Source organism: Homo sapiens, chromosome 12, assembly GCF_000001405.40.
Source record: "Homo sapiens chromosome 12, GRCh38.p14 Primary Assembly".
Classification (NCBI taxonomy): Eukaryota; Metazoa; Chordata; class Mammalia; order Primates; family Hominidae; genus Homo; species Homo sapiens.
The window spans coordinates 121,209,694-121,235,891 of record NC_000012.12 but is presented as its reverse complement, the minus strand read 5'-3'; the positions used below and the strand labels follow the sequence as shown (position 1 = coordinate 121,235,891).

Below are 26,198 nucleotides of genomic sequence, written 5' to 3'. Positions count from 1 at the left end.
CCAAAATGTGAATTTTGGTAGACACATTCAGCCCATATCACCATTCCTAAACATTCCAGCTTCATTTGACCCATGTGCCTAAGCAAGCACTTTTTATTTTTTCAGACAGGGTCTCACTTTGGTGCCCAGGCTGGAGTACAGTGGCACCATCATAGCTCACTGCAGCCTCAACCTCCTGGGCTCAAGTGATCCTCCGGCCTCAGCCACCCAAGTAGCTGGGACTACAGATATATACCGCCACACCCGGCTAATTTAATTTTTTGTAGAGATAGGGTCTCACCATGTTGACTGGGCTGGTCTTGAATGCCTACGCTTAAGTGATCCACCTTGGCCTCCCAAAGTCCTGGGATTACAGGCAACAAGCATTTTTTTTTAAAAGGCAGCATGAACCAGAGCTTCAATAAAGGGAGTTGGTAAACTTTTTTTTTTTTTTCCAAAAGCAAGAAAAGCCCAGGTTGGCCATTTATCCAGCAGAAGCAGAGTATTTGTAAAATAATGGTTCCTCTCAGTACTTGGAAGTGAATTCATGGCAGAGGCGAAGGGCAAACTGCTTCCTCTAGGGGGATTCTGAATACCTGATGCAGAATTCAGCTGGTGTGTGGCTGGGTGCAGTGGCTCACGCCTGTAATCCCAGCACTTTGGGAGGCTGAGGCGGTGGATCATGAGGTCAGGAGTTCCAGACCAGCCTGGCCAACATGGTGAACCTCTGTCTCTACTAAAAATACAAAAATTAGCTGGGTGTGGTGGCAGATGCCTGTAATCCCAGCTACTTGGGAGGCTGAGGCAGGAGAATTGCTTGAACCCAGGAGGCAGAGGTTGCAGTGAGCCGAGATCATGCCACTGCACTCCAGCCTGGGCAATAGGGCAAGACTCTGTCTCAAAAACAAAAAAACACAAACATTTAGTTGGTGTGAAGCTGCAGCTGGAAATAGCTTCATGAACATTTCGAACCTGTGCGGAGCTAGGTATGCGTGCTGCTGCTTTTGGTTGGAGACTTTTGGGAAGCAAACAGGGAAGGGAGAGGAAGCCACTTCCATGTTACCAAAAATTGTGTTACCCACAGCATAGAATTGTAATTTTATGTCAAAATGGAGGCACAGGTAAGATGTCACTAGAGAAAAAGTGTCCTGTGAACTGTGCAGGAAGACAAGCTAATGACAAATTATTAGGCTTTAAAAAGTAGGCAGCTGGGTGCAGTGGCTCATGCTTGTAATCCCAGCACTATGGGAGGCTGAGGTAGGAGGATCGCTTAAGCCCAGGAGGTGGAGACTGCAGTGAGCAGTGATTGCGCCACTGCACTCCAGCCTGGGTAATAAAAAAAATAAATAGGCCAGGTGTGGTGGCGCACACCTGTAATCCAATCACTTTGAGAGGCTAAGGCAGATGGATCATTTGAGGTCAGGAGTTCGAGACCAGCCTGGCTGGCCAATGTGGTGAAACCCTGTCTCTACTAAAAATACAAAAATTAGCCGGGCATGGTGGCATGCACCTGTAATCCCAGCTACTCGGGAGGCTGAGGCAGGAGAATCGCTTGAACCCGGGAGGCAGAGGTTGCAATGAGCCGAGATTGCACCACTGCGCTCCAGCCTGGGCGACAGAGTGAGACTCTGCCTCAAAAATAAAATAAATAAATAAAGAAGTAGGGGAAAATGTGCATAAGTGCCAGAAACAGACCATCCCATGGACCTTTTCTGAGCACAGTGAGCCGGAATAGTGGATTTACTGGTTGTCGTAAAAGGGTAGGAAGGAAAGTTCTAGCACATGCTATGAGACAACAGACAGGGATTAAGAAAATCACGCTTTAATGTCTGGTCCTCGATCACCTTAGCACAGCGCTTCTCTGAGGAGAAATGCCAGCTCTGCCGCATGGCTGCAGGGAATGGTCGGGGGGAAGCCTGCAGCCCAGGCCTGCTACAAGTCTAGTGACTGCAGCCAGGCGGCCTCCCCTGCCGCATAAAGTGCTTGAACAGAGCCGCCGTGCCTCAGAGGACTGGGCCTGTCCTGGAGAGAGCTGGAGACAGGAGGCTTCTGAGCAAAGCCAGCTCCAGCCCTGAAAGCCACAGCAGTGCCACTGCGTCGGGCCAGCGCTCCCCCGACAACCCCAGGTTGCGGGAAAAGCAGAGTTGACCCAGCCAAGAACAGACTGCTGACCTCCTGGGCCGAGTGGGCAAACAGATCCTGCACACAACACACAGGAGCTGCTGGGGAACCCTGAGTGCTTGTGGAGTGGAGACTCAATCAGATTCCAGAAATTTCTCTGGGGTGATGTGGTGGCCATTTCTCCCTCCTCCTCCTCTCTGTTCTTTGATGGGGCTGTGGAGAGCCCAGGTGTGGGGTAGGCCTCACTGGTCCAGCTCACTAGCAAGACCCTGCAAAGAAGGACACAAGCAGATCAAGGTGCCCCTGGGACCCCTTGTGGCAGGCGGGAGGGAGGTGCGCTCCTGGGACTTCACCGCCAGGGGTTCTCAAGTTGGTCCCAGGCCTGGAACCCAACCCTTCCTGTTCCGCAAGGTGCACTGAAGTAGTGTGTGCCCACAGGCATTCTCAGAGCATGCATTATCATCACCAACCTGAGATGTCGCTCATTGAAACGAGGCTGGGTTTAAAGAGTCAATCTAGTACAGGGGCCTAGGGATGGAGCAGCTGCTGAGAGTGGCAGGACTGCCCGGGTTAACGGGGACACCACGCCACACTGGTGCCAGCCTCTGCAGAAGGGCCTCCCCAGACAGGCCCACGCCCAGGGCTCCCACACCCAAGAGATGAGAGGCCTGTGCCTGCTGGGGGCCAGGAGGGGCCTACCTGCTCGTAATCTTCCACATATTTATATTTCTTCTCCCGATAGTAGAGTCTTTTCTTCATGCAGTAGAGGACTATGATGTCACACAGCACGGTCGCCTGAGTTTAGCATAGGGTGAGAGTGAGCCAGGATGCTTGCAACCCATCAACCCATCTTATTCTTTGCGTGCCCCTTCCTGAGAAGCCTGGAATCTTTACCGGAATGGAAAGGCACTCCCATCTCTTGGGAGAAGGCTGGGACCTGAGGGGGGTGGTCTTGGAGAAGGGAAGGTGGGAGGAGGGCTGGGGGCCAAGGGAAAGAAGGTAGGAGGGTCAAGTTTAGAAACACATCTGAGGTCTAGGGCCTAGGGCCAGGACCAGGACCCCAGCCCAGGGTCTCACCTCACCGTGAGGGTGAAGGCAGGGCCTAAACCACTCACCATGCCTAGCAGTGCCAGGCCAGAGCCGATGTTGATCATAGTGGGGATGATGTCAAATTTCCCTGCCTGCCAAGACACCGAAAAAGAAAAAAAGTGTTTCTGCAGGGGCAGGGAGAGGCCCCTTGTCCCTGCAGGGAGTGACGGAGGGGAGCCAGTGGCGGCGAGCTACCTTCCCAAACACAATGATGTCGAAGCGGATGCCATAGGCCTTGATGAGCGTGCGCTGCTCGTTGCCAGCCAGGTCTCTGTAGTACTTGGCAAACCTGAGGGGAAGGAGGATGGATCAGGGGGAGATGGCTGGGGCAGGACCTTGGGCCCTGTGAGAGAACGTTAGAGTGGAGCTGGCACAGGTGAATGGTCCACTCTGCCGGCTGAATGGACGCTGGAGCGGCTCGGGGCCTCTCCTGGCTGAGGCGGGCTGTGCAAGCAGGAGGATGCGGGGCCCACGAGGTACAGGGGCACAGGGAGACCTCCTCCTCCAGCACCAGTGTCCTCTCCTGAACCTGAACAGTTTGCTCTCAACATCCCACCTGGTACATCCTGCCTGCCTCCCTCAAGGGACCCTGACCTCCAACATCTAACAGTAAGAATGTGACCAGCCAGCATTGCAGGAGGGGACTAAGCCAGCCCCAACACAGCATCAGTGCAGGGACTTTTTTTTTTTTTTTTTTTGAGATGGAGTCTCCCTCTGTTGCCAGGCTGGAGTGTAGGGGCACCAATCTTGGCTCACTGCAACCTCCACCTCCCCAGTTCAAGCAATTCTTCTGCCTCAGCCTCCCGAGTAGCTGGGACTACAGGCGCACACCACCATGCCCAGCTAATTTTTGGATTTTTTAGTAGAGACGGGGTTTCACCAAGTTGGCCATGATGGTCTCAATCTCTTGACCTAGGGCTTTTTAAATTTATTTATTTTTTCAAAGAAACATTGATTCTGTGCACACAGTCTTCAACAACAACAACAACAACAAAAAGAACCACTCGTTCGTCACACAGATAAAGAGATGAACAAAACGTCGTCTGTCAACACAGCAGAATATGATTTGGCCATAAAAAGAGACGAGGTACTGACACAGGCTACGACATGGATGAAGCTTGAAAACATCAGGCTAAGGGGAAGGAGCCAGACGCAAAAGGCCACATATTGATTATATGAAATGCTCAGAAGAGGCACATCTGCAGAGACAGAAAGTAGACCACTGTTGCCAGGGGCCGGGGGATGACAGAAGGGTGCAGGGTTTCTTTTTGAGATGACGGAAATGTTCTAAAATCGACTGTGGTGAAGCCTGCACTTATCTGTGAATATAGTGAAAACTATGAATTCTGCACTTCAAATGTGTGAACGGTATGGCATGTGAATTGCATCTCAGTAAGACCATTTAAAAATATATGGCTGGGTGCGGTGGCTCACACCTGTAATTCCGGCACTTTGGGAGGCCGAGGCAGGTGGATCACTTGAGGTGAGGAGCTCGAGACCACCCTGGCCAATGTGGAGAAACCCCGTCTCTAATAAAAATACAAAAAATTAGCTGGGTGTGGTGGCGGGCGCCTGTAATCCCAGCTACTCAGGCGGCTGAGGCAGGAGAATGTCTTGAACCCGGGAGGCAAAGGCTGCAGTGAGCTGAAATCGCACCACTGCACTCCAACCTGGGTGACAGAGCAAGTCACTCCCTTAAAAAAGAAGAAAAAAAAAAAAATATATATATATAATGGCTATATATATAATGGCTATATATATATATACACATATATACATATACATATATGAGAGAGAGAGAGAGCGAGCACGCGAGAGAGCGCACACGCATGAGCAGGGGATGGATGGTTGGTGAAGAACCGTCAAGACATACCATCTGCTGCCCCATGTTCTCCAGGGATCCATCAGGAGCCTCGGCCCGCACCCTAGCTCCATGCTCTATCTGGCCCACAACTTCCACGCCATGGGCCAGGCCTGGGAGACACAGGCAGGGCCTGGTGCTGCCCGAGGTTGGGGGATAGGCGTCCTGAGTTCTTTCCGTTTTAGGGCTCTGACCTAAGCTTGAGGTTTCCACAAGAAGTGTGTGACAGTAGAGATGGAATAACACAAATCTAACTGCTAGAAAAGAAAAATTCAAATATCTGCTTTACTCAGTGAGCCAGAAGGTTCAAAAGGACAGCAGATCCCACAATTACAGAGGTCTTAGGATCCCGTATGGATCGGATTCCACACGTCACCACTAGGGGGAGGCAAGTGCAGCCCAAAGCACCGCTGACCGCGCCCAGGGATGGTCCTTGCAGGGCCTCTTTTTTTTCCCCCTGAGACGGAGACTTGCTTTGTCGCCCAGGCTGGAGTGCAGCAGTGCGATCTCGGCTCACTGCAACCTCTGCCTCCCTGGCTCAAGCGATTCTCCTGCCTCAGCCTCCCAAGTTGCTGGGATTACAGGCATGCGCCACCATGCCCAGCTAATTTTTGTATTTTTTTTAGTAGAGATGGGGTTTCGCCATGCTGGCCTCAGGTGATCTGCCCGCCTTGGCCTCCCAAAGTGCTAGGATTACAGGTGTGAGTCACTGCGCCCGGCCTGGAGCGCTTCCTTTTTAAGGACTGTGAAAAATGCAACAAAGGGTACGTGGAAATTTACCTGGCTATAGATTCTGATCATGAGATCATCAGCTGTAGTGGGTTGAACAGTGTGTCCCCAAAAATTCACATCTACCTGAAGCTTGGGAGTGTGACCTTATTTGGAAATGGGATATTGGCAGACGTAATTTGTTAAGATGAGGTCATACTAGAGTAGGGTGGGCCCTAAATTCAGTGACTGATATCCTTACAAGAAGAAAAGACACAGAGACACATACAAGGCAGAAGGCCTCATGACAGGAGAGGCAGAGACTGGAGTGATGCATCCACAAGCCAAGGAACACCGTGGGCTACCAGAAGCCAGGAGAGACAAGTAAGGACTCTCTCCAGAGCCTTCAGAGCGAGCACAGCCCTGCTGATGCCTGGATTTTAGGTTGTGGCCTCTAGAACTGTGAGAACTGTGAGAGAATCAAGTCCTGTAGTTGCAAGCCACTGTTTGTGGGACTCGCTTACATCTGCCCCAGGACACCGAGATGCCAGCATTTGCAGCAGGGAACCCAGCAAGGCCTTTCAGGGGCCTCAGACCTGTGTCCCCTGCACTCTGGAGATTCTGGCACAGGTTCAACCTTTGAGAAACCAATTCCTGGGCCAGGCCCCAGAGGCCTTTGGACTGGAGGATCACAAGATCATCCGCTCCTTGAGGCAGTGAATGGAGGTCATGGCTGAGGCAGGTGCTGGAAAGCTTAAGCCCCCAGCTTCTCCTGGCTGCTCTAAGAACCATCTCAACATGTTTCTTGCGGCAGGAAAGGGCAAGGAGGGGTCTCGGGGGCCGGGATGGCCCCGGAGCAGGACACCACTAAGGGCATTTTCCCAGCATGGCCTTCCCGCCGCCTTGGACGGGGGACCGGCAGCCTGCCCTTGGGGTGCTGCCTGAGTGCTGGTCTTCAGTGGGCGGCCCACTGGCACGTACGCAGCCACCAGCACCCCCTACAACATGAGCGAGGGGCCCAAGCTCACGCCCACCTGAAATTGTAGCCAGGAGATACGTTGTGCTCAACGTCCCGTGTATCGAGGCGGCGGAAGGAGTACCTGGGCAAGCAGAGGGAGGCGGCTCTGTCCAGGTTGCAGTCCCAGTTGACCTGGATGCCCATGATGCCTCCCTGGGGATGAGCAGCAGAGACACGGCAAGGCTTTCCTCAGCACCTGGCACGAGACGCCTCCAGGGCTGGGTCAGGAGAGCCAGGGCCCGCACCCACCTCCACGGCCATGTCCTGGAAACTGTGTCCTGCGTTCTCCACTATTTTGCCAAGACGGAATATGGGGCAGAAGGGATCTGTTTTAGCATCATAAATGCACGACTTGAGGTAAGTAGTGGTGATGTTGGGAAGGATATTCCTCCTAAAGTCGAGAGGAAGCAGAAAATCAGAGCGACGAAAACCTCAGAGAAGAGAGAAGAGCCAGAAGTTTCTCCAAGACCCTGGTGAACTCACACACCTGGCCACCACTTACTTGCTGAAATTAAATTTGGGATACCAGATGTTGTTCTTAACCAAAAGAGTGAAGTTTTCTGCAGCCTTTAAAAAAGCAGGTCTGAAAAACAATGATAACATTACTGTTAATAAAATACATACAAATACTCACATAACCATGTTATATATATATATATACACACATATATATATGTATTGTGTGTGTGTGTCTGTGTGTGTGTGTGTGTATATATATATATATATATATTTTTTTTTTTTTTTTTTTGAGATGGAGTCACTCTGTCACCTCGAGTGCAGGCTTGAGTGCAATGGCGCGATCTCAGCTCACTGCCACCTCAGCCTCCCGTGTAGCTGGGATTACACAGGTGTGAGCCACTATGCCTGGTTAACTTTTTTTGTATTTTTAGTAGAGACAGGGTTCCACCATGTTGGTCAGGCTGGTCTCCAACTCCTGGCCTCAAGTGATCCGCCTGCTTCAGCCTCCCAAAGTGCTGGGATTACAGGCATAAGCCATCACGCCCAGCCTATATATATTTTTGAGACAGGGTCTTGCTCTGTTGCCCAGGCTGGAGTACAGTTGCATGAACACAGCTTCTTGTAGCCTCGACCTCCCAGGCTCAGGGGGTTCTCCCACCTCAGCCTCTCAAGTAGCTGGAACTATAGGCATGCATCACCATGCCTGGCTAATGAAATTTTTTTTTTTTTTTTTTGTAGACATGAAGTCTTCCTACATTGCCCAGGCTGGTCTTGAACTCCTGACCTCAAGCAATCTTCCTACCTCCGCCTCCCTGTGCTGGACTACAGGAGTGGGCCACCATGTTCAGCCCCTATGTAATATTTTTAAAAACATATACACACATCTTACAATGTCATTTTGTCAAGAAGATGAAACACGTCTAGCATTTTCTACACCCTTCTGCATGCACACTCTTCTCTTCCAAGAGAAGACACTGAGCCGAGCCTTCCAGGTTCTTCCCCTCAAGGAAGGGCAGGCCCTCTCCCCCAAGGCGGTGAAAACTGAATTGCTAACCAGGGAGGGGATTTGTGGCCTCACTGGAAATCAGTAGGCCTGGCTTTGGGGCCGCAGGCGTTCTCCAGGGAGAGAATGAAGGCTGGGCAGATCCGGTTTTACAGGTCAAAGCAAAAGTAAATTTGCCTACAGGCTGGATCCTGACCTGTCTGAAAAGTGCACAAAGCACCCGCCAGCAGGTGCGCCGGCCTCTTCTCAGAAGTGCCACGTCAGCTCCTGGCTGACAATACAAGTTGAATCTGTCCCCAAGGGGACTCCATTTCTTTGGTGAATTTCTCCTGGAGAATCTGGCACTGTATGGCTAACCCTTCTGTGGGGGATGTTCCCCTGATCCAGGTGGGATCTTTGGAATGACAACATCAACAGTCTTCCCAGCCCTGAGACAGGAGCAAGGTCAGTGACAGGGCTGCACTCGGAGGAGAGCTGAGCCTGTCACCACTGCTGTCAGAGAAAGGCTGGGACCAAGGGGCTTCTCTCAGGTTTTTTTTTTTTTTGAGATGGAGTCTTGCTCCTGTTGCTCAGGCTGGAGTGCAATGCCGCGATCTCGGCTCACTGCAACCTCTGGGTTCAAGTGATTCTCCTGCCTCAGCCTCCCGAGTAGCTGGGGTTACAGGCGTGCACCACCACGCCTGGCTAATTTTTTCATATTTTTAGTAGAGATGGGGTTTCACCATGTTGGTCAGGCTGGTCTCAAACTCCTGACCTCAGATGATCCACCCACCTCGGTCTCCCAAAGTGCTGGGATTACAGGCATGGGCCACTGTGCCTGGACTTCTCTCAGGTCTTCAAAGTCCCCACTCCCTCAAGAGGGATGGCTTACAACAGGGGTGTTCAAGTTTTTGTCATTTCCTGTACCGTAACACCCACACACACACCTGTGTACCTCACATGTAATACTTTAAGATCAACTCACCTTTTTAGAGAAATTGAGATGAAATTCACATAACATAAAATTAACCATTTTAAACTGGACAATTCTGTGGCATTTAGTACATTCATAATGTTGTGCAATCATCACCTCTGTCTAGTTCCAAAACGTTTTAGTCTTTGTTCTGTTTTTGAGACAGGGTCTTATTCTGTCACCCGGGCTGGAGCGCAGTGGCATGATCTTGGCTCACTGCAACTTCTATCTCCCGGGTTCAAGCAATTCTCGTGCCTCAGCCTCCTGAGTAGTGGGATTACAGGTGCGCACCACCACGCCTGGCTAATTTTTATATTTTTAGTAGAGAGGGGGTTTCACCATGTTGGCCAGGCTGGTTTTGAACTCCTGGCCTCAAGTGATCCACCCGTCTCTGCCTCCCAAAGTGCTGGGATTATAGGCATGAGCCACTGTGCCTGGCCAATGTTATTTCTTATATCAGTGTGCACTTAAAAATCATTTTACACCGCATTAGATCTGCAACAGTGATGTCCAATAAAAGTATATTGTGAGGCCAGGTGTGGTGGCTCACGCTGTAATCCCAGCACTTTGGGAGGCTAAGGCAGGTGGGTTGCTTGAGCCCAGGAGTTCAAGACCAGCCTGGGCAACATGGTGAGACCCTGTCTCTACAAAAAATAAGTTGGCTGGGCATGGTGGTGCGCCCCTGTGGTCCCAGCTACACAGGAGGATGAGGCGGGAAGATCACTTGAGTCCAGGAGTTCGAAGCTGCAGTGAGCCATGATCGTTATCACTGCACTGGGTGACAGAGCAAGATCCTGTGTCAAAAAAAAAGTATCTTATGAGACACAACTACAAGCCACACTCCAACTTAAAGTTTCCTAATAGCCACACTACAAAGTAAAAGAAACAAGTAAAATTTTATACAGTAACCCAAAATATTACTTCAACATGTAACCAACATACAAAAATCAATGAGATATTATACATTCTTTTTTTCATAATAAATATTCAGGGCCGGGCGTGGTGACTCACGCGTGCAATCCCAGCACTTTGGGAGGCCAAGGCAGGTGGATCACGAGGTCAGGAGATCGAGACCATCCTGGCTAACACAGTGAAACCCCCTCTCTACTAAAAATACAAAAAAATTAGCTGGGTGTGGTGGTGGGCGCCTGTAGTCCCAGCTACTGGGGAGGCTGAGGCAGGAGAATGGCGTGAGCGCAGGAGGCGGAGCTTGCAGTGAACAGAGATGGCGCCACTGCACTCCAGCCTGGGCGACAGAGCGAGACTCCATCTCAAATAAATAAATAAATACAAATAAATAAAAAATAAATAAATAATAAACAGAATCGGGCTGGGTGCAGTGGCTCACACCTATAATCCCAGCACTTTGGGAGGCTGAGGCAGGTGGATAACCTGAGGTCAGGAGTTCGAGACCAGCCTGGCCAACATGGTGAAACCTGCATCTCTACTAAAAATACAAAAATTAGCAAGGTGTGGTGGGGGGTGCCTATAATCCCAGCTACTCAGGAGGCTGAGGCAGGAGAATCACTTGAACCCGGGAGGCAGAGGTTGTGGTGAGCCAAGATCACGCCACTGTACTCCAGCCTGGGCGACAGAGCGAGACTTCGTCTCAAAAAAAAAAAAAAAAAATCCAATTTGATGATAAGTGCACTTCCTATGGACAGCCCATCTCCTTTCGGACCCAGCCATATTTCAATTTTCAATAGCCACGCGTGGCCAGAGTCTCCTGTGTTGGAGAGCACAGCTCTGTGAGATCCTCTCCAGCTCTAAGATGCTAGGATTCCTTTTCTTTTTCTATCTCCTTCCTTTGCCTTAGCAATCTCTAAATCTGCAGTTCTCAGCCTTTCCTTCTGTCTCAACACACCCAGGATGAGGTTCAGTGGCTTCCTGCTCCCCGGGGCTCATGGAGACCTCGGTCTGAGCTCTCGGTGAGAAAGGCCCTAGGCTGCACGCACTTCTCAGAGCGCTGCCCGGACTCCACCCCATGAAGCACAGCCAATTACAACCACGAAGAATGTTATTCTAGAGCAACCTTGAACCTGGCTAGTTTAGTTGATTTTTAAATTTTTATTTATTTATTTTTTTAAATTTTTATTTTTTGAGACAGAGTCTCTCTCTGTCGCCCAAGCTAGAGTGCAGAAGAGCGATCTCAGCTCACTGCAACCTCCACTTCCCGGGTTCAAGCAATTCTCCTACCTCAGCCTCCCAAGTAGCTGGGATTACAGACAAGCGCCACCCTAACCCTAATTTTTGTATTTTTAGTGGAGACGGGGTTTCTCCATGTTGGCCAGGCTGGTCTTGAACTCCTGGCCTCAGATGATCCGACTGCCTCAGCCTCCCAAAGTGTTAGGATTACAGCATGAGCCACCGCGCCAGGATGAACCTGTCTAGTTTAGTTTAAAATACACTGTAGCAAACATCCGTTGTTTTCTTCCCAGCATCTGCTCCCAGCTTTTCTGGTAACAGAACCCCAAATGTCCTTTGGAAGCCATATCTCCCCAATGCTTGCCTATGTCACTTGGGTGGGTCTGACTCTAGCCCCAGCTGCAGAGGTGGGCATGTGACCCAGGCCCAAGCTGATAAGCAAAACCCATTCCCCAGCCACAGAGATGGGTTGAGAGATATGGCCATTGATACGATGATGGACAGGTCTAGAATCTCCAGGGACAGCTGGAAAGGGAGACTCAGACTTGGGGGGCTGTAAGTGCAGCGCTGCCTCCCGGGCTATGCTGTGGGTCCTGCGAGTGAAGCTGGCACGGCGGGATGCAGAGCCAGGAAGGGAGACTAGGGTGTTGTCCTTTGTCTCTCACTCTGTCGCCCAGGCAGGAGTGCAGTGGCCTCTGTCGCCCAGGAGGGAGTGCAGTGGCACCATCTCAGCTCAGCAACCTCCTCCTCCCAGGTTCAAGAGATTCTTCTGCCTCAGCCTGGCACGAGATTCTCCTGGCCACGCTGGATCTTTTTGGTCAGCCGGACAATACACTGCCCCCCCGCTGTGCACGCATGTGTATGTGTGTATGTGTTTGTGCACATGTGCTTAAGGCACTGAGAACTGTTTCCTGTCAGTTATTTGCAACTGACAGAGTCCTAACATACAAGGAAGTCAGTCACCTGCACCCTTCTCGTGAGTGACAGACTACTTGTGGCCCATCTTGCCACTGATGGTCGCTGCCTTGTGGTTGAGAGCAGCCATCCTAGGGCAGCCTGACTTCATACAGACACCAGAAACACACAAAAAGCCACAACACACAGGTGTAACTCCTTGACCACCTCTGTTCAAGGCTGACACGCAGAGTTGAAGGTGCTTCCGGCTGGGTGTGGTGGCTTCTGGCTGGGTGTGGTGGCTCCCGCCTGTAATCCTAGCACTTTGGGAGGCCAAGGCAGGTGGATCACTTGAGGTCAGGAGTTGGAGACCAGCGTGGCCAACATGGCAAAACCCCGTCTCTACTAAAAATACAAAAAATTAGTTGGGCGTGGTGGTGGGTGCCTATAATCTCAGCTACTCGGGAGGCTGAGGCACAGAAAATCACTTGAACACGGGAGGTGGAGGTTGTGGTGAGCCAAGATCGCACCACTGCACTCCAACCTGGGATACAGAGTGAAACTGTGTCTAAAACAAAACAAAACAAAAAGGCACTTCCTTCCCTAGGGCTGGACTCACTGTGGCACGTGTGTGTCATCCTCCACCGGGCACCAGGCCGCCACCTCACACGTCTTGACAGACCCGTTGAAAGCTACGCACCTGCCTGTTGAGACTCCTACAAGCACAAGGGTGGCAGGGGGGTCCCATGTCCACAGGGGTCTCCTATTTTCTACCTTTTTGGAGTAGGGAGTGAGAGCCCCATCCAGCCTCCCATGCAGCCAGTCTTGAGCTGTGCAAATCTGGGATTTAGACAGTGTCACTGTCCAGGAGTTAGAATCGGAGGAAGACAGTTACCTGTGTGCCAGCCACATCTCAGCCAGGGTGATGCCAAGCTAAAGAATGGGACAAGAGGCCAGGCACAGTGGGTCATGCCTGTAATCCTAGCACTTTGGGAGGCTGAGGCGGGTGGATCACCTGAGGTCAGGAGTTCGAGACCAGCCTGGCCAACATGGTAAAACCCATCTCTACCAAAAGTACAAAAATTAGCTGGGCGTGGTGGTGCATGCCTGTAATCCCAGCTACTCGGGAGGCTGAGGCAGGAGAATTGTTTGAAACTGGGAGGTGGAGGTTGCAGTGAGCCGAGATCATGCCATTGCACTCCAGTTTGGGTGACAGAGCGAGACTCTGGCTCAAAAAAACAAAAAAACAAAACAAAAAAAAAAACAAGAAAAAACAACAACAACAACAAAAAAAAAAACAGTAGGGCAAGAGCTGGGATGGCTTGTGGGGCTCCAATGACAGCAGTGAATGTAGAGGGGCTCCAGGACCCCAGCCTCGGCACCTGGCTCACCCAGGGTCATGTGAAGGAATTGGGAAGATTTCTCTATCAGAGACGCTCCACAGTGGGGGCGATCTGCTCAGGGGCCGCCCTCCCCAGGAGGCCACAAGCTCGTACCGTTGCTGTGGGTGCCGGCAGAGCCGGCAGTACAGCTGGCATCTGATTTACACACAGTGGTCGCATCTGGAATCTGGAAAAAGAAGGAGCGAAAAGAAAGTCCACGTGGCCCGGCCCCACACACAGGTGGACAGGCGTGGAGAGGGGTGTGGGGCCTGGGGCTCTTCCCGGGGGCCTCCTACCTCGGGGCACAGGCCCTGTGTCTGGTTCATGGTGAGGATCACGTTGGTCATGACGAAGAGGGAGTTTTCCTCCTGCAGAGGGGAGACAGCACGGGCAAGCCACGCTCAGAGGACTCACGGAGAGCCAAGAAAGGCAGACGCTGACTGAAGAGGACAACTCAAACACTGACCGCGTGCTCTCCCGCTCTCTCCCATCAAAGTTTATAACCCAATGGAAAACAGTGACTCAAACAAGTCCTTGTACATAAATATTCAGAGCAACACTTTTCACAAGAGCCAAAAGGTGGAAACAGGTCGGGCGCGGTGGCTCAAGCCTGTAATCCCAGCACTTTGGGAGGCTGAGGCGGGCGGATCACGAGGTCAGGAGTTCAAGACCAGCCTGGTCAACACAGTGAAACCCCCGTCTCTACTAAAAATACAAAAATTAGCCGGGTGTGATGGCGGGCACCTGTAGTCCCAGCTACTTGGGAGGCTGAGGCAGGAGAATTGCTTGAACCCGGGAGTCGGAGGTTGCAGCGAGCCGACATCGCGCCACTGCACTCCAGCCTGGATGACACGAGACTCTGTCTCAAAAAAAAAAAAAAAATGGTGGAAACAGCCCAAATGTCTGTCCTAGTCTAGTCACATGATGGAATGTGATTCAGCCATGAATAAAAAGGAATGAAGGGTCCAGGCATGGTGGCTCACACCTGTAATTCCAGCACTTTGGGAGGCTGAGGCAGGAGGATCACCTGAGGTCAAGAATTCCAGATTAGCCTGGCCAACATGGTGAAACTTTGTACTAAAAACACACACACACACACACACACACACACACAAACACACACAGACACACGCACACACAAAAGGAGCCGGGTGTGGTGGCGGGCACCTGTAATCCCAGCTACTCAGGGGGCTGAGCCAGGAGAATCACTGGAACCTGGGAGGTGGAGGTTGCAGTGAGCCGAGATCACGCCAGTGCACTCCAGCCTGGGTGACAGAGTGAGATTTCATCTCAAAAAATAAAATAAAGGAATAAAGCACTGATACAGGCTACAACATGGATGAACCCCAAAAACATGATGCTGAGTGAAAGAAGCCAGACACAAAGGCCACACAGGATACCATTACATTGATGTGAAATTTCCAGAACAGTCAAGTCCATAGAGACAAAGCACTTACGGGTTGCCAGGGAGTGAGAGAAGTGGGGAATGGGGAGTGGTTGTGTAACATACGAGGCTTCCCTTTGGGGTGATGGAAATGTTTTGAACTAGATAGAGGTGATGCTTGCATAACACTGTGAATGCACTAAATGTGCTGAATTTTTCATTTTAAAATGGTTAATTTCTTTCTTATTTATTTATTTATTTGAGACAGAGCCTTGCTCTGTCGCCCAGGCTGCAGGGCAGTGGCACGATCTTGGCTTACTGCAATCTCCGCCTCCTGGGTTCAAGCGATTCTCCAGCCTCACCCTCCTGAGTAGCTGGGACTACAGGTGTACATCACCACACCTGGCTAATTTTTGTATCTTTAGTAGAGATAGGATTTCACCATGTTGGCTAGGCTGGTCTCCAACTCCTGGCCTCAAGTGATCTACCTGCCTCAGCCTCCCAAAGTGCTGGGATTACAAGCATGAGCCACTGTGCCCGACTTAAAATGGTTAGTTTCTATAAGTGAATTTGACTGCAGTTAAAAAAAGGGGGGGGTCTGCAAACTGAAACAATGGTTTCTCAATCAAACTTGACTTACTGAGGGAAAGAGCCAACAAGTGCTAAAAACATTCCCTGCCAACCAGATTATCTCAGAGGAATAAAAACATGAGGCCTCATGGGGCTCAAATCTGGCTGGTTTTCTTTCCTAACTGAAATTATAAATCAAACATTCTAGAGAAGACTCGGTCAGGGTCAGCAAGTGACATTTCTCTTTGAAAAGGTTCTGTTTCCTCCTTATATGTATAAAGGTGCCAAATAATTGATTTAGAGTTTCTGGAAAGCAATTTGCTAGGGATGAGACTGAAGAATTGCTGATAATGACCTCCTCATATAAGGAATAAAAGGCAAAGACCCCAAAAGATTCTAGTTGGATCCTCCTCTCATTGGGGGCTGGTGTCCATCCATCTAATCTAATCTATCTATTATCTGTCTATCTATCTATCTATCTATCTATCTATCTATCTAATCTATCCTATATCTATCATCTGTTTTCTATTTATCGATTATCTATCACCTATCTAATCTATCCTATCATCTGTCATCTATCCTATCCCTTTTCTTTCTTTTCTCTTCTCTTTTCTTTCTTTCCCTTTCTTTCTCCTATCCTATCATTTATCTATTCTTTCTTTCTTTCCATCTATCTATCTATCTATCTATCTATCTATCTATCTATCTATCCATCCATCCATCCATCCATCCATCCATCCATCCATCCACCACCCATCCAATCAAGATGGGGTCTCACTATATTGCCCAGGCTGGTCTTGAATCCTGAGCTCAAGTGATCCTCCTGCCTTGGCCTCCAAAAGTGCTGGGACTACAGGCGTAAGCCACTGCGCCTGGCTGGGCCCAGGCATTTTAAAAGGAGATGCCCAAAGCTTTTAGCATTTCACACTCCTGAGGATAACAGTCAGTAGTGGGAGCCATCTTGGGGATCAGGGCAACTCAGAAACCAACCAGTCTGTAGACATCCCCAACCCCACGGTCTGACAAGTGGTGGAAGCTCTAGAAATAGCTGGCGTCCTCCAAAGGCCTAGGGCAAACTATGTTGGGAGACAAGGAGAAGGCCACAGGAGGAGGCGTGAGGATGTGGCATGAGCTGCAGCCTCTCTCCCGCCACCTGTCACGTTCCCAGGTGTTCAATGTACAAACACACTCTGCATTTGGTGTTAGAGAAGGCCGCTCCTACGACTCTCCTGAGTTATACTTGGAACAATCCAGTATGGTCTACTTTTCGTTTCCTATCTCTCCTTCTTTCTCTCTCTTTTAGAGTTGGGGTCTTGCTCTGTTGCCCTAGCTGGAGTGCAGTGGCGTGATCACAGTTCACTTCAGCCTCAAACTCCTGGGCTCAAGTGATCCTTCTGCCTCGGCCTCCAAAAGTGTTGAGATTACAGGCATGAACCACCACATCTGGCCTGTTTCCTATCACTTATCTACTTCAAATTAAGGGTAATTTCAGTCTGGAGATGAGCCAAGGGGCTGCAAATAGATGACTGTGTTCCATCTACAAAGAACACAGACGTCGTGAAAGCTCATGAGGAAAGCCCTGGGGAACTCACACGGCCCCCGCCCAGATCCACCACGGAAGGCTGAGTTGTGGGGTGCTCCTTTCCACCAAGGGACAAAAGCGGGGCTTGTGCCCTTCCTCATCTGCCCAGTAAACACACCGAGCATGACATTCCCAGAGCTCACCGGGACAAGGCTATGCCTGCACAGGAGGCAACCGTCTCTCTGCTGAGACAGGTACATGCTAACAGGACTGCCCCCTCCAGCCAACTGCAAATCCCCTGTTCCACTTGATCTTTTTTTTTGAGACGGAGTCTTGCTCTGTCACCAGGCTGGAGTGCAGTGGCACTATCTCGGCTCACTACAACCTCCGCCTCCCAGGTTCAAGAGATTCTCCTGCCTCAGCCTCCCTAGTAGCTGGGACTACAGGCACCCACCACCACACCCCACTAATTTTTGTATTTTTAGTAGACAGGGTTTCACCATGTTAGCCAGGATGGTCTCAATCTCTTGACCTCATGATACACCGACCTCGGCCTCCCAAAGTGCTGGGATTACAGGCATGAGCCACCGCACCTGGCCCTTCCTCCTGACTTTTATGGCTCATTAGCTCGGTCTCCTCTCTGGGGACCCCACAAGACCCTTCTCTTGAGAAGGCAGGGGGAAGAACACACCTGAAGAAAGAGTTTCTGGAGTTCTTGTTTTCCCTGGCAAGAGCTCTGAGCCAAGAGTTGGCAGCTTATCTCTACTGGTCGCCCTCGGTCCCTTAGCACATAGGCCATCTGGAGGGCTATGTCGGGTTTGACTGTGTGGTGCAGAGCTGTTACCAGGACTAAAGAGTCAATGTTTAACTTGGAGCTTTGCAGATTAACAGCCTGAAGACTAGTATGCAGCAGTAAACAATGTCTTCCCTTCCTTTCGCTCCCGATGGAGTCCTGTGCTGCTGTCTCTGTTTCCTTCTTGTTTGGGTTTTGGTCTCTAATGGTCTCTAATTCTTTTCTTTTTTTTTCTTTTTTTTTTTTTTTATAGAGATGGGGTTTCACCACATTGCCCAGGCTGGTCTCAAACTCCTGGGCTCAAGGTATCTGCCCGCCCCAGCCTCCCAAAGTGCTGGGATTACACACGTGAGCTACTGTGCCCGGCCTAAAGTTTTTACACTGTCTGAAAAGATTTACCTCGTGTATTTGGGACAATAATGCAAACCCAAAATGTGGAAAGGTGATATTTCCACTTGAATTTCTATCAGGATTTAAGACATTTGTTTTCTCATCTTTCAGGGCTTTCAGCCTGCCATGCTTTCAAGCTGAGGAACCACAGCTGCCTGGATACACTCTGTTAGATCCTAAGCTGAAAAGAGATCTGGCTGCACCGTTTTCTTGGACTAAAACAATCATTCTGGGCATTGGTGATGTCAGGACTCAGGCCACGTCAATCATTAATCAAGTGTGCAAAGTCAGTAAAGAGCAAGGTGTCAGTGTTAGACAGAAGACACAGTGGGAGACACACCTGAGCTGGTATCACATAATCCGCCACATCCCAGATCCGGAATCCAAGTTTAGAAGTGTTGGTCACAGCCACGCCCTTGACCTTGGTCGTAACGGAGCTGACCACGGAGTCAGTTTCCTGGTAGCCCTTTTCCCACACAAACACCCACCTATAAAATAAAACAGGCCTCTTAAATTGCCATTAGGATTCAATGGATTTGAATTGATGGGGAAGCTTCTGCTGGCCAGTGGCTGGAAGTACGATGTTGACTAATTACATGACTTTCTACAAGCTACGTACCTTCTAGGGGACTCCATTTCCACTTCTGCCAAATGGGGATGGTAGCACCTAAACCACAGGAGGGTTTGCGGGAAATAAATGAGATGGTGCAGGTAAAGCACTCAGCACACTGATGGCACAGAGAAAACGCTCGATGAATACTGTCTTTATTACATTTGAGCATTTTCTCTTTTTTTTTTTTTGAGACGATGTTTCGCTCTTGTTGCCTAAGCTGGAGTGCAATGGTGTGATCTTGGCTCACTGCAACCTCCGCCTCCCGGGTTCAGGCAATTCTCCTGCCTCAGCTTCCCAAGTAGCTGGGATTACAGGCATGCGCCAACACGCCTGGCTAATTTTGTATTTTTAGTAGAGACGGGGTTTCACCATGTTGGCCAGGCTGGTCTCGAACTCCTGACCTCAGGTGATCCACCCACCTCGACCTCCCAAAGTGCTGGGATTACAGGCGTGAGCCACTGCACCTGGCCCTTTGAGCACTTTCAATGCCTGTGACCTATGGGAATCACCAAGAGATAATACAAATTATAACAGTTACCACTGGAGTGTTTATAGGCACCAGGCACTGATCTAAGCTCTTTATATGTATTAACTCATTTAATCCTGACCACTTTATGAGACAGGTATCATTATTATTATTTCCATTTTACAGAGGAGGAAATGGAAACACAGAGAGGTTAAGTCACTTGCCAAAGGTCACACAGCTAGTGAGTGGCAGAGTCAGGATTTGAACTCAAGCCAGAAGCATCTGAAGCCTCTTCTCTCACCCACTATGCTCTACTCTAAGCTTGTCTAACCCATAGCACACAGGCCGCATGCGGCCCAGGATGGCTTTGAATGAGGCCCAACACAAATTCGTAAACTTTCTTAAAACGTTATGAGATTTTTTTTTGTGTGATCAAAAAAAGTTTGTTTTTTAGCTCATCAGCTATTGTTAGTGTTAGCATATTTAATGTGTGGCCCAAGATAATTTCTCCTTCCAGTGTGGCCCACGAAAGCCAAAAGATTGGACAACCCTAGGCTACTCTTTCTAGAAAAGAGAATTCTACCCTTTAAGGAACTTTTAAGAGTAGTTTCTTACTTTTCCCCCAAGAATTCTGGTCACATATATGGTTCTCTCCTCTGAAGTGGGACTATGACTACCAGTTTGAACAATTAAAAATCCAAAGGGGCTGGGTACAGTGGCTCACGCCTGTAATCCCAGAACTTTGGGAGGTCAAGGGGGGAAGATCATTTGTGCCCAAGAGCTCGAGACAAGCCTGGGCAACATAGGGATCTCTACAAAAAATAAAAAATTAGCCGGGCATGGTCAGTTTTGATTATAGCAAGATGGACAAAAGCAAAGCATTTACTGCTTTAAAGATTCTCGTGACTGAGACAGTGAATACGTCATAAGGAATCCTACAGAGCTGTGCTGTCCAATAAAAATCCCGGCTATTTGGGAGGCTGAGGTGGGAGGATCACTTGAGCCTGGGAGACGGAGGCTGCAGTGAGCTGTGATGCCACCGCACTCCAGCCTGGGCGACAGGGCAAGGCTCTGTCTCAAAAAAAAAAAAAAAAAAAAAACCATCTACAGGCATTAGCTTATAGGGGTTAGGACAGACTGGAGGCAGAGGTCTTGGTTCATGGCTCAGCTCCACCATTCACGAGGCATAACTTTGGCCAAGGTGCTTAACCTCATTGTGCCTCAGTTTTTCCCATCTATAATCTGGGAATGATAGTAGATCTTCACAGGATTCTTGTGAGGGTAAAAGAATTAATGTAGGTCAAATGTTTACAACAATGTTTGTGAGTCATCGTTGGTCACAGAGCAAGTACTGACACCGTGGAAATTGGCCAGTACTACAAATCAGAACCCCTCCCCTTCGAACTGCTGTTAAACATCTACTAGAGACTATCAGTGTTGTTATTTATAGAATCAGGAAATGCTAGGCTTCTCCTTCTTCTAAGTCCTAGATGCTGAGACTTCAGAAATTCACTGGTTTTGTTGAGGTCAGGAGTCCAAGACCAGCCTGGCCAACATTGTGAAACCCCGACTCTACTAAAAATACACAAAATTAGCTGGGTGTGGTGGTGGGTGCCTGTAGTCCCACATACTCGGGAGGCTGAGGCAGGAGAATCACTTGAACCCGGGAGGTGGAGATTGCAGTGGGCTGAGATCATGCCACTGCACTCCAGCCTGGGCAAGAGTGAGACTCTGTCCCTCCACCAAAAAAAAGAAAAGAAATTAATGGTTTTGTTACTTATGAGTGTGTGTGATCGAGCAGTCTCCAAGTTCATTGCCCAGCCTAGAGATGGGCTTTCCCCCCATGGGCTTTTCCCCTGACAAGTCCAGGGCTTCTAGGAATTCAGCTGCAGTGTAAGCTTCCATTTAATTCCAGTCTGACACACAAAAGCTTGGGGCAGGAAGACTGATGTACTCATCAAGTACAGTGAGTTGCTTAATTTAGAGACACAGGGTTTCATGCCACTCATTATCATGTGATTATTTCCTCCTCATATGATTGTTAACAGAGTTAGATAGATGAGAATTGCGTGTTCGGTCTTTTTTTGAGGGAGGGTTGCTGTAGGAGGAGACCACAATTTCACTAAGATGAGTTGCATCAAAAAGTTAAGAGATGAGGTTAAAAAAAAAAAGAGCCTTAATGCAGGTCCTGAGTCAGTTTTGATTATAGCAAGACGGACAAAAGCAAAGCATTTACTGCTTTAAAGATTCTCATGACCGAGATAGTGAATGCGTCATAAGGAATCCTACAGAGCTGCGCTGTCCCATAAAAACATAACGCGAGCCACATATTTTTTTTTTTGAGACAGGCTCTCGCTCTGTCGCCCAGGCTGAAGTGCAGTGGCACAATCTTGGCTCACTGCAACCTCCGCCTCCCAGGCTACAGCAATCCTCCCACCTCAGCCTCCCAAGTAGCTGGGTCCACAGGTGTGCGCCACTATGCCAAGCTAATTTTTCGTATTTTTGGTAGAGATGGGGTTTCACTACGTTGCCCAGGCTGGTCTCAAAATTCCTAAGCTCAAGGGATCCACTTGCCTCAGCCTCCCAAAGTATTGGGATTACAGGCGTGAGCTACCACAGGGCAAGACCCTGTAATTTAAAAGTTTCTAGTAGCCATGTCAAAAAGTAAAAAGAAATAGAAAGGGCTGGGCACGGTGGCTCATGCCTGTAATCCCAGCACTTTGGGAGGCCGAGGCAGACAGATTGCTAGAGCTCAGGAGTTCGAGACCAGCCTGGGCAACATGGAAACCTCATGATTGTAGAGATGAGATTTCTCATCTGTACAAACAAACAAACAAAAACACAATAATTAGCCAGTCATGGTGGTGTGCACCTGTAGTCCCATAATTCCAGAGGCTGAGATGGTAGAATCACTTGAGCCTGGGAGGCAGAGGTTGCAGTGCATTGCACTCCAGTCTGGGTGACAAAGCAAGGCGCCGTTTAAAAAGAAAAAAAGAAAAAAGAGACAGGAAAAATTAATTGTAATGATATATTCTGTGTAACCCAATATATCCAAAATATTTTAACATGTCATCAATAAAAAATGTTTTCATGTGATAGTGGTACTCTTTGTTTTTTTGAGACAGTGTCTTGCTCTGTTGCCCAGGCTGGAGGGTGGTGTGATCACAGCTCTCTGTGGCCTCAACCTCCCAGGTTCAAGCAGTCCTTCTGCCTCAACCTCCCAAATAGGTAGGCCTATAGGCGTGTGCCACCATGCCAGGCTAATTTTTGTATTTTTTTGTAGAGGCAAGGTCTCGCTATGTTGCCCAGGTTTGTCTCAAACTCTTGAGCTCAAGCGATCTTCCCACCTCAGCCTCCCAAAGTACTGTGATTTCAGGCATGAGCCACTGTGCCCAGCCTCTTTTTCTGTACTATGTCTTTGAAATCCAGTGTGTATTTTAAGGTTATAGCACATCTCAGTGTAGAGTAGGAACGGTTAAGTGTTCAACAGGTGCAAGTTACTAGTGGCTACCATACAGTGCAACACCACTATGGATATTTTCCGCAGTTGTAATTTTACAGGTACCCTAAGGTAGATGTGCACTGATCCTCCCACTAGCAGCAAACGCCAAAAGCAAAAAGCTGCAGGGGAGCTCCTGCCCCCAAATGCTTCAGGTCCAACCAGGGATGTGAGTTCAGTTAACTGGCTAGCAGTGAGTCTCCAAAAAAAAAAAAAAAATATATATATATATATATATATATATATATATATTTGAGATGGAGTTTTGCTCTTGTTGCCCAGGCTGGAGTGCAGTGGCGCAATCTGGGCTCACTGCAACCTCCGCCTCCTGGATTCAAACGATTCTCCTGCCTCAGCCTCCCATGTAGCCGGGATTACAGGCATTAGCCACTAGGCCTGGCTAATTTTTTGTACTTTTAGTAGAGACGGGGTTTTACCATGTTGGCCAGGCTGGTCTCGAACTCCTGACCTCAGGTGATCCACCCGCCTCGGCCTCCCAAAGTGCTGAGATTATAGGCATGAGCCACCGTGTTCAGAAAAAAAAAAAAAAAAAATTCTTTTTTTTGCACTGCTCCATCAGTACAATTTACCATTTTAAACTTTATTTTTCTCTTAGAGATGGGGTCTCGCTATGTTGTCCAGGCTGGTCTTGTGTCCAGGCTGGTCTTGAGCTCCTGGCCTCAAGCAATCCTCCCACCTTGGCTTCCCAAAGCACTGGGACTACAGGTGTGAGCCAATGAGTCCAAATCTGGGTGTGGGCCAGGTGGTTCTGATGTTGAGTCTGCACCTGGAAAGCCATCCTCTTGAATACTGTCTGTATCTACTGCTGCTGCTGACAGATATTGGAAGCCAAACCTGCTTGGGCTTCCCTTGGGCAGTGTTAAGATTCCAAACCTCACCCCAAAGACGGGGGGATCTGTTACTTTTAAACAATTCCTCAGATGAGTCTTCCATGATCAGGTAAACTTGGGAAACACAGTTCATTGGTTCCGAAACGTTGCTGAACATGAGAATCACCTGGGCAGCCGATCATACTCTGCAGCAATTAAATCAGAAGGTCTGGGGATGCGTCTGGGCGCGGTGGCTCACGCCTGTAATCCCAGCACTCTGGGAGGCTGCGGCGGGTGGATCACCTGAGGCCAGGAGTTCGAGACCAGCCTGGCCAACATGGCGAAACCCTGTCCCTACTAAAAATACAAAAATTAGCCGGGCATGGTGGTGGGTGCCTGTAATCCCAGCTACTCAGGAGGCTGAGGCAGGAGAATCGCTTGAACCAGGGAGGTGGAGGTTGCAGCGAGCCAAGATTGCACCACTGCACTCCAGCCTGGGCGACAGAGGGAGACTCCATCAAAAAAATAAAAAAGGGTCTGGGGATGGGAGCCAAAGATTTCCAGATGGTTCCAATGTGCAGTTTGGAGACCACTGCACTAGGCAATACGTGTCAGCCCAGCAGCTGTAGACACCAGAACACCCCAGGTAAGCCTTTAAAGTGGCCCCAGGTGGCAAGGTAATTATCATCTTCTCTCTCGCGTTGTATTCAATTGTAACAGGTGCCAGCCCCGCGTGGGGGCTCACGCCTGTAATCCCAGCATTTTGGGAGGCTGAGGTGGGCGGATCACCTGAGGTCAGTTCAGGACCAGCCTGAAACCCCGTCTCTACTAAAAAATACAAAAATTGGCCGGGCGTGGTGGCGGGCACTTGTAATCCCAGCCACTCAGGAGACTGAGACAGGAGAATTGCTTGAACCCGGGAGGCAGAGGTTGCAGTGAGCCGAGATCGTGCCATTGCACTCCAGCCCGGGCGACAAGAGAGAAATTCCGTCTCAAAAAAATAAAAAAATTAAAAAAGTAACAGGTGCCTTCAAGTACAATGGCACATTCAGCGAGGCCTGAGGGCGGTAGGGCATCTCTAGCCTAAGGGGGCAGCATGGGGAATGACTGACTAGGCTAGGGCAGGTACCACAAAAAGCCCCACAAGCCCAGAAAACAAAGGAAGCAAACTTTAAACACTCGCTACAGTCTGACCTCGCTACTACCACATAGTGACACCGCATAGTGATCAAAAGAAATGACCAAAAGCCACCCACCCAGAAGGAACCAAGCGGAAATTCCAAGCTTTGGTTTTGTCAGCAAATCAGCAGGATGGGAAGTGGAGAGCGAAGATTGAGACGTTCAGGGCGAAGCCCCTACAGCCAAGGGGCACTATGGGGGGTCAGGCAGGAGAGGGTAACAGCCTAGCCAGGCTTTGCCTTTATTTATTTTGTAAACAGACGGGTCTCGGACTGTCTCCCAGGCTCGAGTTAAGTGGTGTGATCATAGCTCACTGCAGCCTCAGCCTCTTGGGCTCAAGCGATCCTCCCACCTCAGCCTCCTGAGTAGCTGGGACCCCAGGCGCGCGCCACCAGGCCCGGATGATTTTTAATTTTTTGCAGAGACGGGGTCCCACGATGTTGCCCAAATTGGTTTCGAACTCCTGGGCTCAGGCGATGGTCCCGCCTCGGGCTCCCAAAGTGCTCGGATTACAGGCTTGCGCCACCGCGCCTGGCCCAGGCTGTGGTTTTAAAACAGCAGCAAGCAGCCTCCCGCCCCCGGGGCCCCGGCGCGGCGGCTGGGGCCCAGGGAAGGTGTCACCGCCTCGGCTCGCCGCTCCCGGACTCGCCCAGGTGACCGAGGCCAGGATGAGCCGCCGCACGGCGCGGACGCGAGGGCAGCACCCGCCGCGCCCCCCGCGCGGCCCCACGCTCACCCGATGACGTAGGCCAGGATGAGCAGTTGCACGGCGCGGTTCATGAGCCCCACTTTGCGGCTGCGGATGAGCACGATGCGCGGCGTGTCGTACTCGAACAGGAAGGCCGCCAGCGCGGCGCAGCAGCCCGCCATGGCCGCGCCGCCCGCTCCCAGTCCCCTAGTCGGTCTGGGTCCCAGTCCCCGCTCGGAGCCCCGCCCAGTCCGCCTGGCCTGCTGGCGGCGCCGTCATCGCGGAGGAGGGCCCGGAAGGAGGCAGCACGGGCGGTCGGGGCCCGGGGCCCGGGGGAGGGCGCCACCTCCCCGTCGGGAACGATGACCCTCTAGGGGGCATGGAACTCGCGGGGGGGGAGTGGCCTCGCCCTTGAGGACGAAAGGCTCCTTCAAAAGGCGGGCGAGGGGCCGGGGGCGGTGGCTCACACCTGTCATCCCAGCACTTGCGGAGGCCGAGGTGAGAGGAATCTTGAGTTAGAGACCAGCCTGGACAACATAGCGAGACCTCGTCTCTATCAAAAATACAAAAAAAAAAAAAAAAAAAAAAAAAAAGCGGGCGTAGTGGCGCTCGCCTGTAGTCCCAGGGAGGCTGAGGTGAGAGGATCGCTTGAG

General features: G+C 50.2%; 1 protein-coding gene and 1 long non-coding RNA gene across 11 annotated transcripts in view, besides 7 other annotated features; one reads left to right on the top strand and one right to left on the bottom strand.

Annotated features, from left to right (window-relative positions):
- Positions 1,523 to 2,150: an enhancer, noted in NCBI's record as "H3K4me1 hESC enhancer chr12:121671545-121672172 (GRCh37/hg19 assembly coordinates)". NCBI's record gives its function as "activates a minimal SCP1, AML or CMV promoter by ChIP-STARR-seq in naive H9 embryonic stem cells {active_cell/tissue: H9 hESC(naive)}" and the evidence as "EXISTENCE:reporter gene assay evidence [ECO:0000049][PMID:30033119]".
- P2RX4 (purinergic receptor P2X 4) lies at positions 1,786 to 25,763 on the bottom strand. Of its 9 annotated transcripts, none has more exons than NR_046372.2 (13): positions 25,594 to 25,763; positions 18,611 to 18,758; positions 13,908 to 13,979; positions 13,726 to 13,798; positions 13,125 to 13,162; positions 12,849 to 12,945; positions 7,279 to 7,359; positions 7,026 to 7,167; positions 6,793 to 6,929; positions 3,385 to 3,478; positions 3,216 to 3,281; positions 2,800 to 2,895; positions 1,786 to 2,369 (listed from the first exon to the last, which is right to left on the bottom strand). NR_046372.2 is itself a non-coding variant. In NM_001256796.2 (13 exons), the coding sequence occupies exons 1-13, from the start codon at positions 25,725 to 25,727 to the stop codon at positions 2,343 to 2,345; spliced, it is 1,215 nt and encodes a 404-aa protein (NP_001243725.1). In that variant the 5' UTR covers positions 25,728 to 25,763; the 3' UTR covers positions 1,786 to 2,342. The 9 variants fall into 9 exon arrangements, 7 of the variants coding, with proteins under 7 accessions (NP_001243725.1, NP_002551.2, NP_001248326.1 ...); NM_001256796.2 differs by lacking the exon at positions 13,125 to 13,162 and adding an exon at positions 18,890 to 18,937; NM_002560.3 differs by lacking the exon at positions 13,125 to 13,162.
- Positions 5,332 to 5,626: a silencer, noted in NCBI's record as "tiled region #10951; HepG2 Repressive DNase matched - State 8:EnhW". NCBI's record gives its function as "represses a minimal TATA promoter and a strong SV40 promoter by Sharpr-MPRA in HepG2 cells {active_cell/tissue: HepG2}" and the evidence as "EXISTENCE:reporter gene assay evidence [ECO:0000049][PMID:27701403]".
- Positions 5,336 to 5,385: an enhancer, noted in NCBI's record as "active region_7160". NCBI's record gives its function as "activates an Ori minimal core promoter by ATAC-STARR-seq in GM12878 lymphoblastoid cells {active_cell/tissue: GM12878}" and the evidence as "EXISTENCE:reporter gene assay evidence [ECO:0000049][PMID:35858748]".
- Positions 8,524 to 8,573: an enhancer, noted in NCBI's record as "active region_7159". NCBI's record gives its function as "activates an Ori minimal core promoter by ATAC-STARR-seq in GM12878 lymphoblastoid cells {active_cell/tissue: GM12878}" and the evidence as "EXISTENCE:reporter gene assay evidence [ECO:0000049][PMID:35858748]".
- Positions 11,995 to 12,495: an enhancer, noted in NCBI's record as "H3K4me1 hESC enhancer chr12:121661200-121661700 (GRCh37/hg19 assembly coordinates)". NCBI's record gives its function as "activates a minimal SCP1, AML or CMV promoter by ChIP-STARR-seq in primed H9 embryonic stem cells {active_cell/tissue: H9 hESC(primed)}" and the evidence as "EXISTENCE:reporter gene assay evidence [ECO:0000049][PMID:30033119]".
- Positions 24,938 to 24,987: an enhancer, noted in NCBI's record as "active region_7158". NCBI's record gives its function as "activates an Ori minimal core promoter by ATAC-STARR-seq in GM12878 lymphoblastoid cells {active_cell/tissue: GM12878}" and the evidence as "EXISTENCE:reporter gene assay evidence [ECO:0000049][PMID:35858748]".
- Positions 25,318 to 26,057: a silencer, noted in NCBI's record as "silent region_4970". NCBI's record gives its function as "represses an Ori minimal core promoter by ATAC-STARR-seq in GM12878 lymphoblastoid cells {active_cell/tissue: GM12878}" and the evidence as "EXISTENCE:reporter gene assay evidence [ECO:0000049][PMID:35858748]".
- LOC105370032 (uncharacterized) overlaps positions 25,820 to 26,198 on the top strand; it is an 84,641-nt gene continuing 84,262 nt past the window's right edge. Inside the window, exon 1 of one of the 2 annotated variants that reach the window (XR_001749352.3) lies at positions 25,820 to 26,043. This is a non-coding gene — a long non-coding RNA (uncharacterized LOC105370032). The remainder of the gene's footprint in view (positions 26,044 to 26,198) is intronic. The other variant, XR_945459.4, reaches the window with a different exon arrangement.

Bases quoted from the DNA above. Each gene is read 5' to 3' on its own strand.
- P2RX4 (NM_001256796.2), bottom strand. From the start codon at position 25,727: ATGGCGGGCTGCTGCGCCGCGCTGGCGGCCTTCCTGTTCGAGTACGAC. The intron at 7,360-12,848 runs GTGAGTCCAGCC...ATTGTTTTTCAG, and splicing joins GATGACACACACGTGCCACA to ACCTGCTTTTTTAAAGGCTG. The intron at 3,282-3,384 runs GTAGCTCGCCGC...GTGTCTTGGCAG, and splicing joins ACATCATTGTGTTTGGGAAG to GCAGGGAAATTTGACATCAT.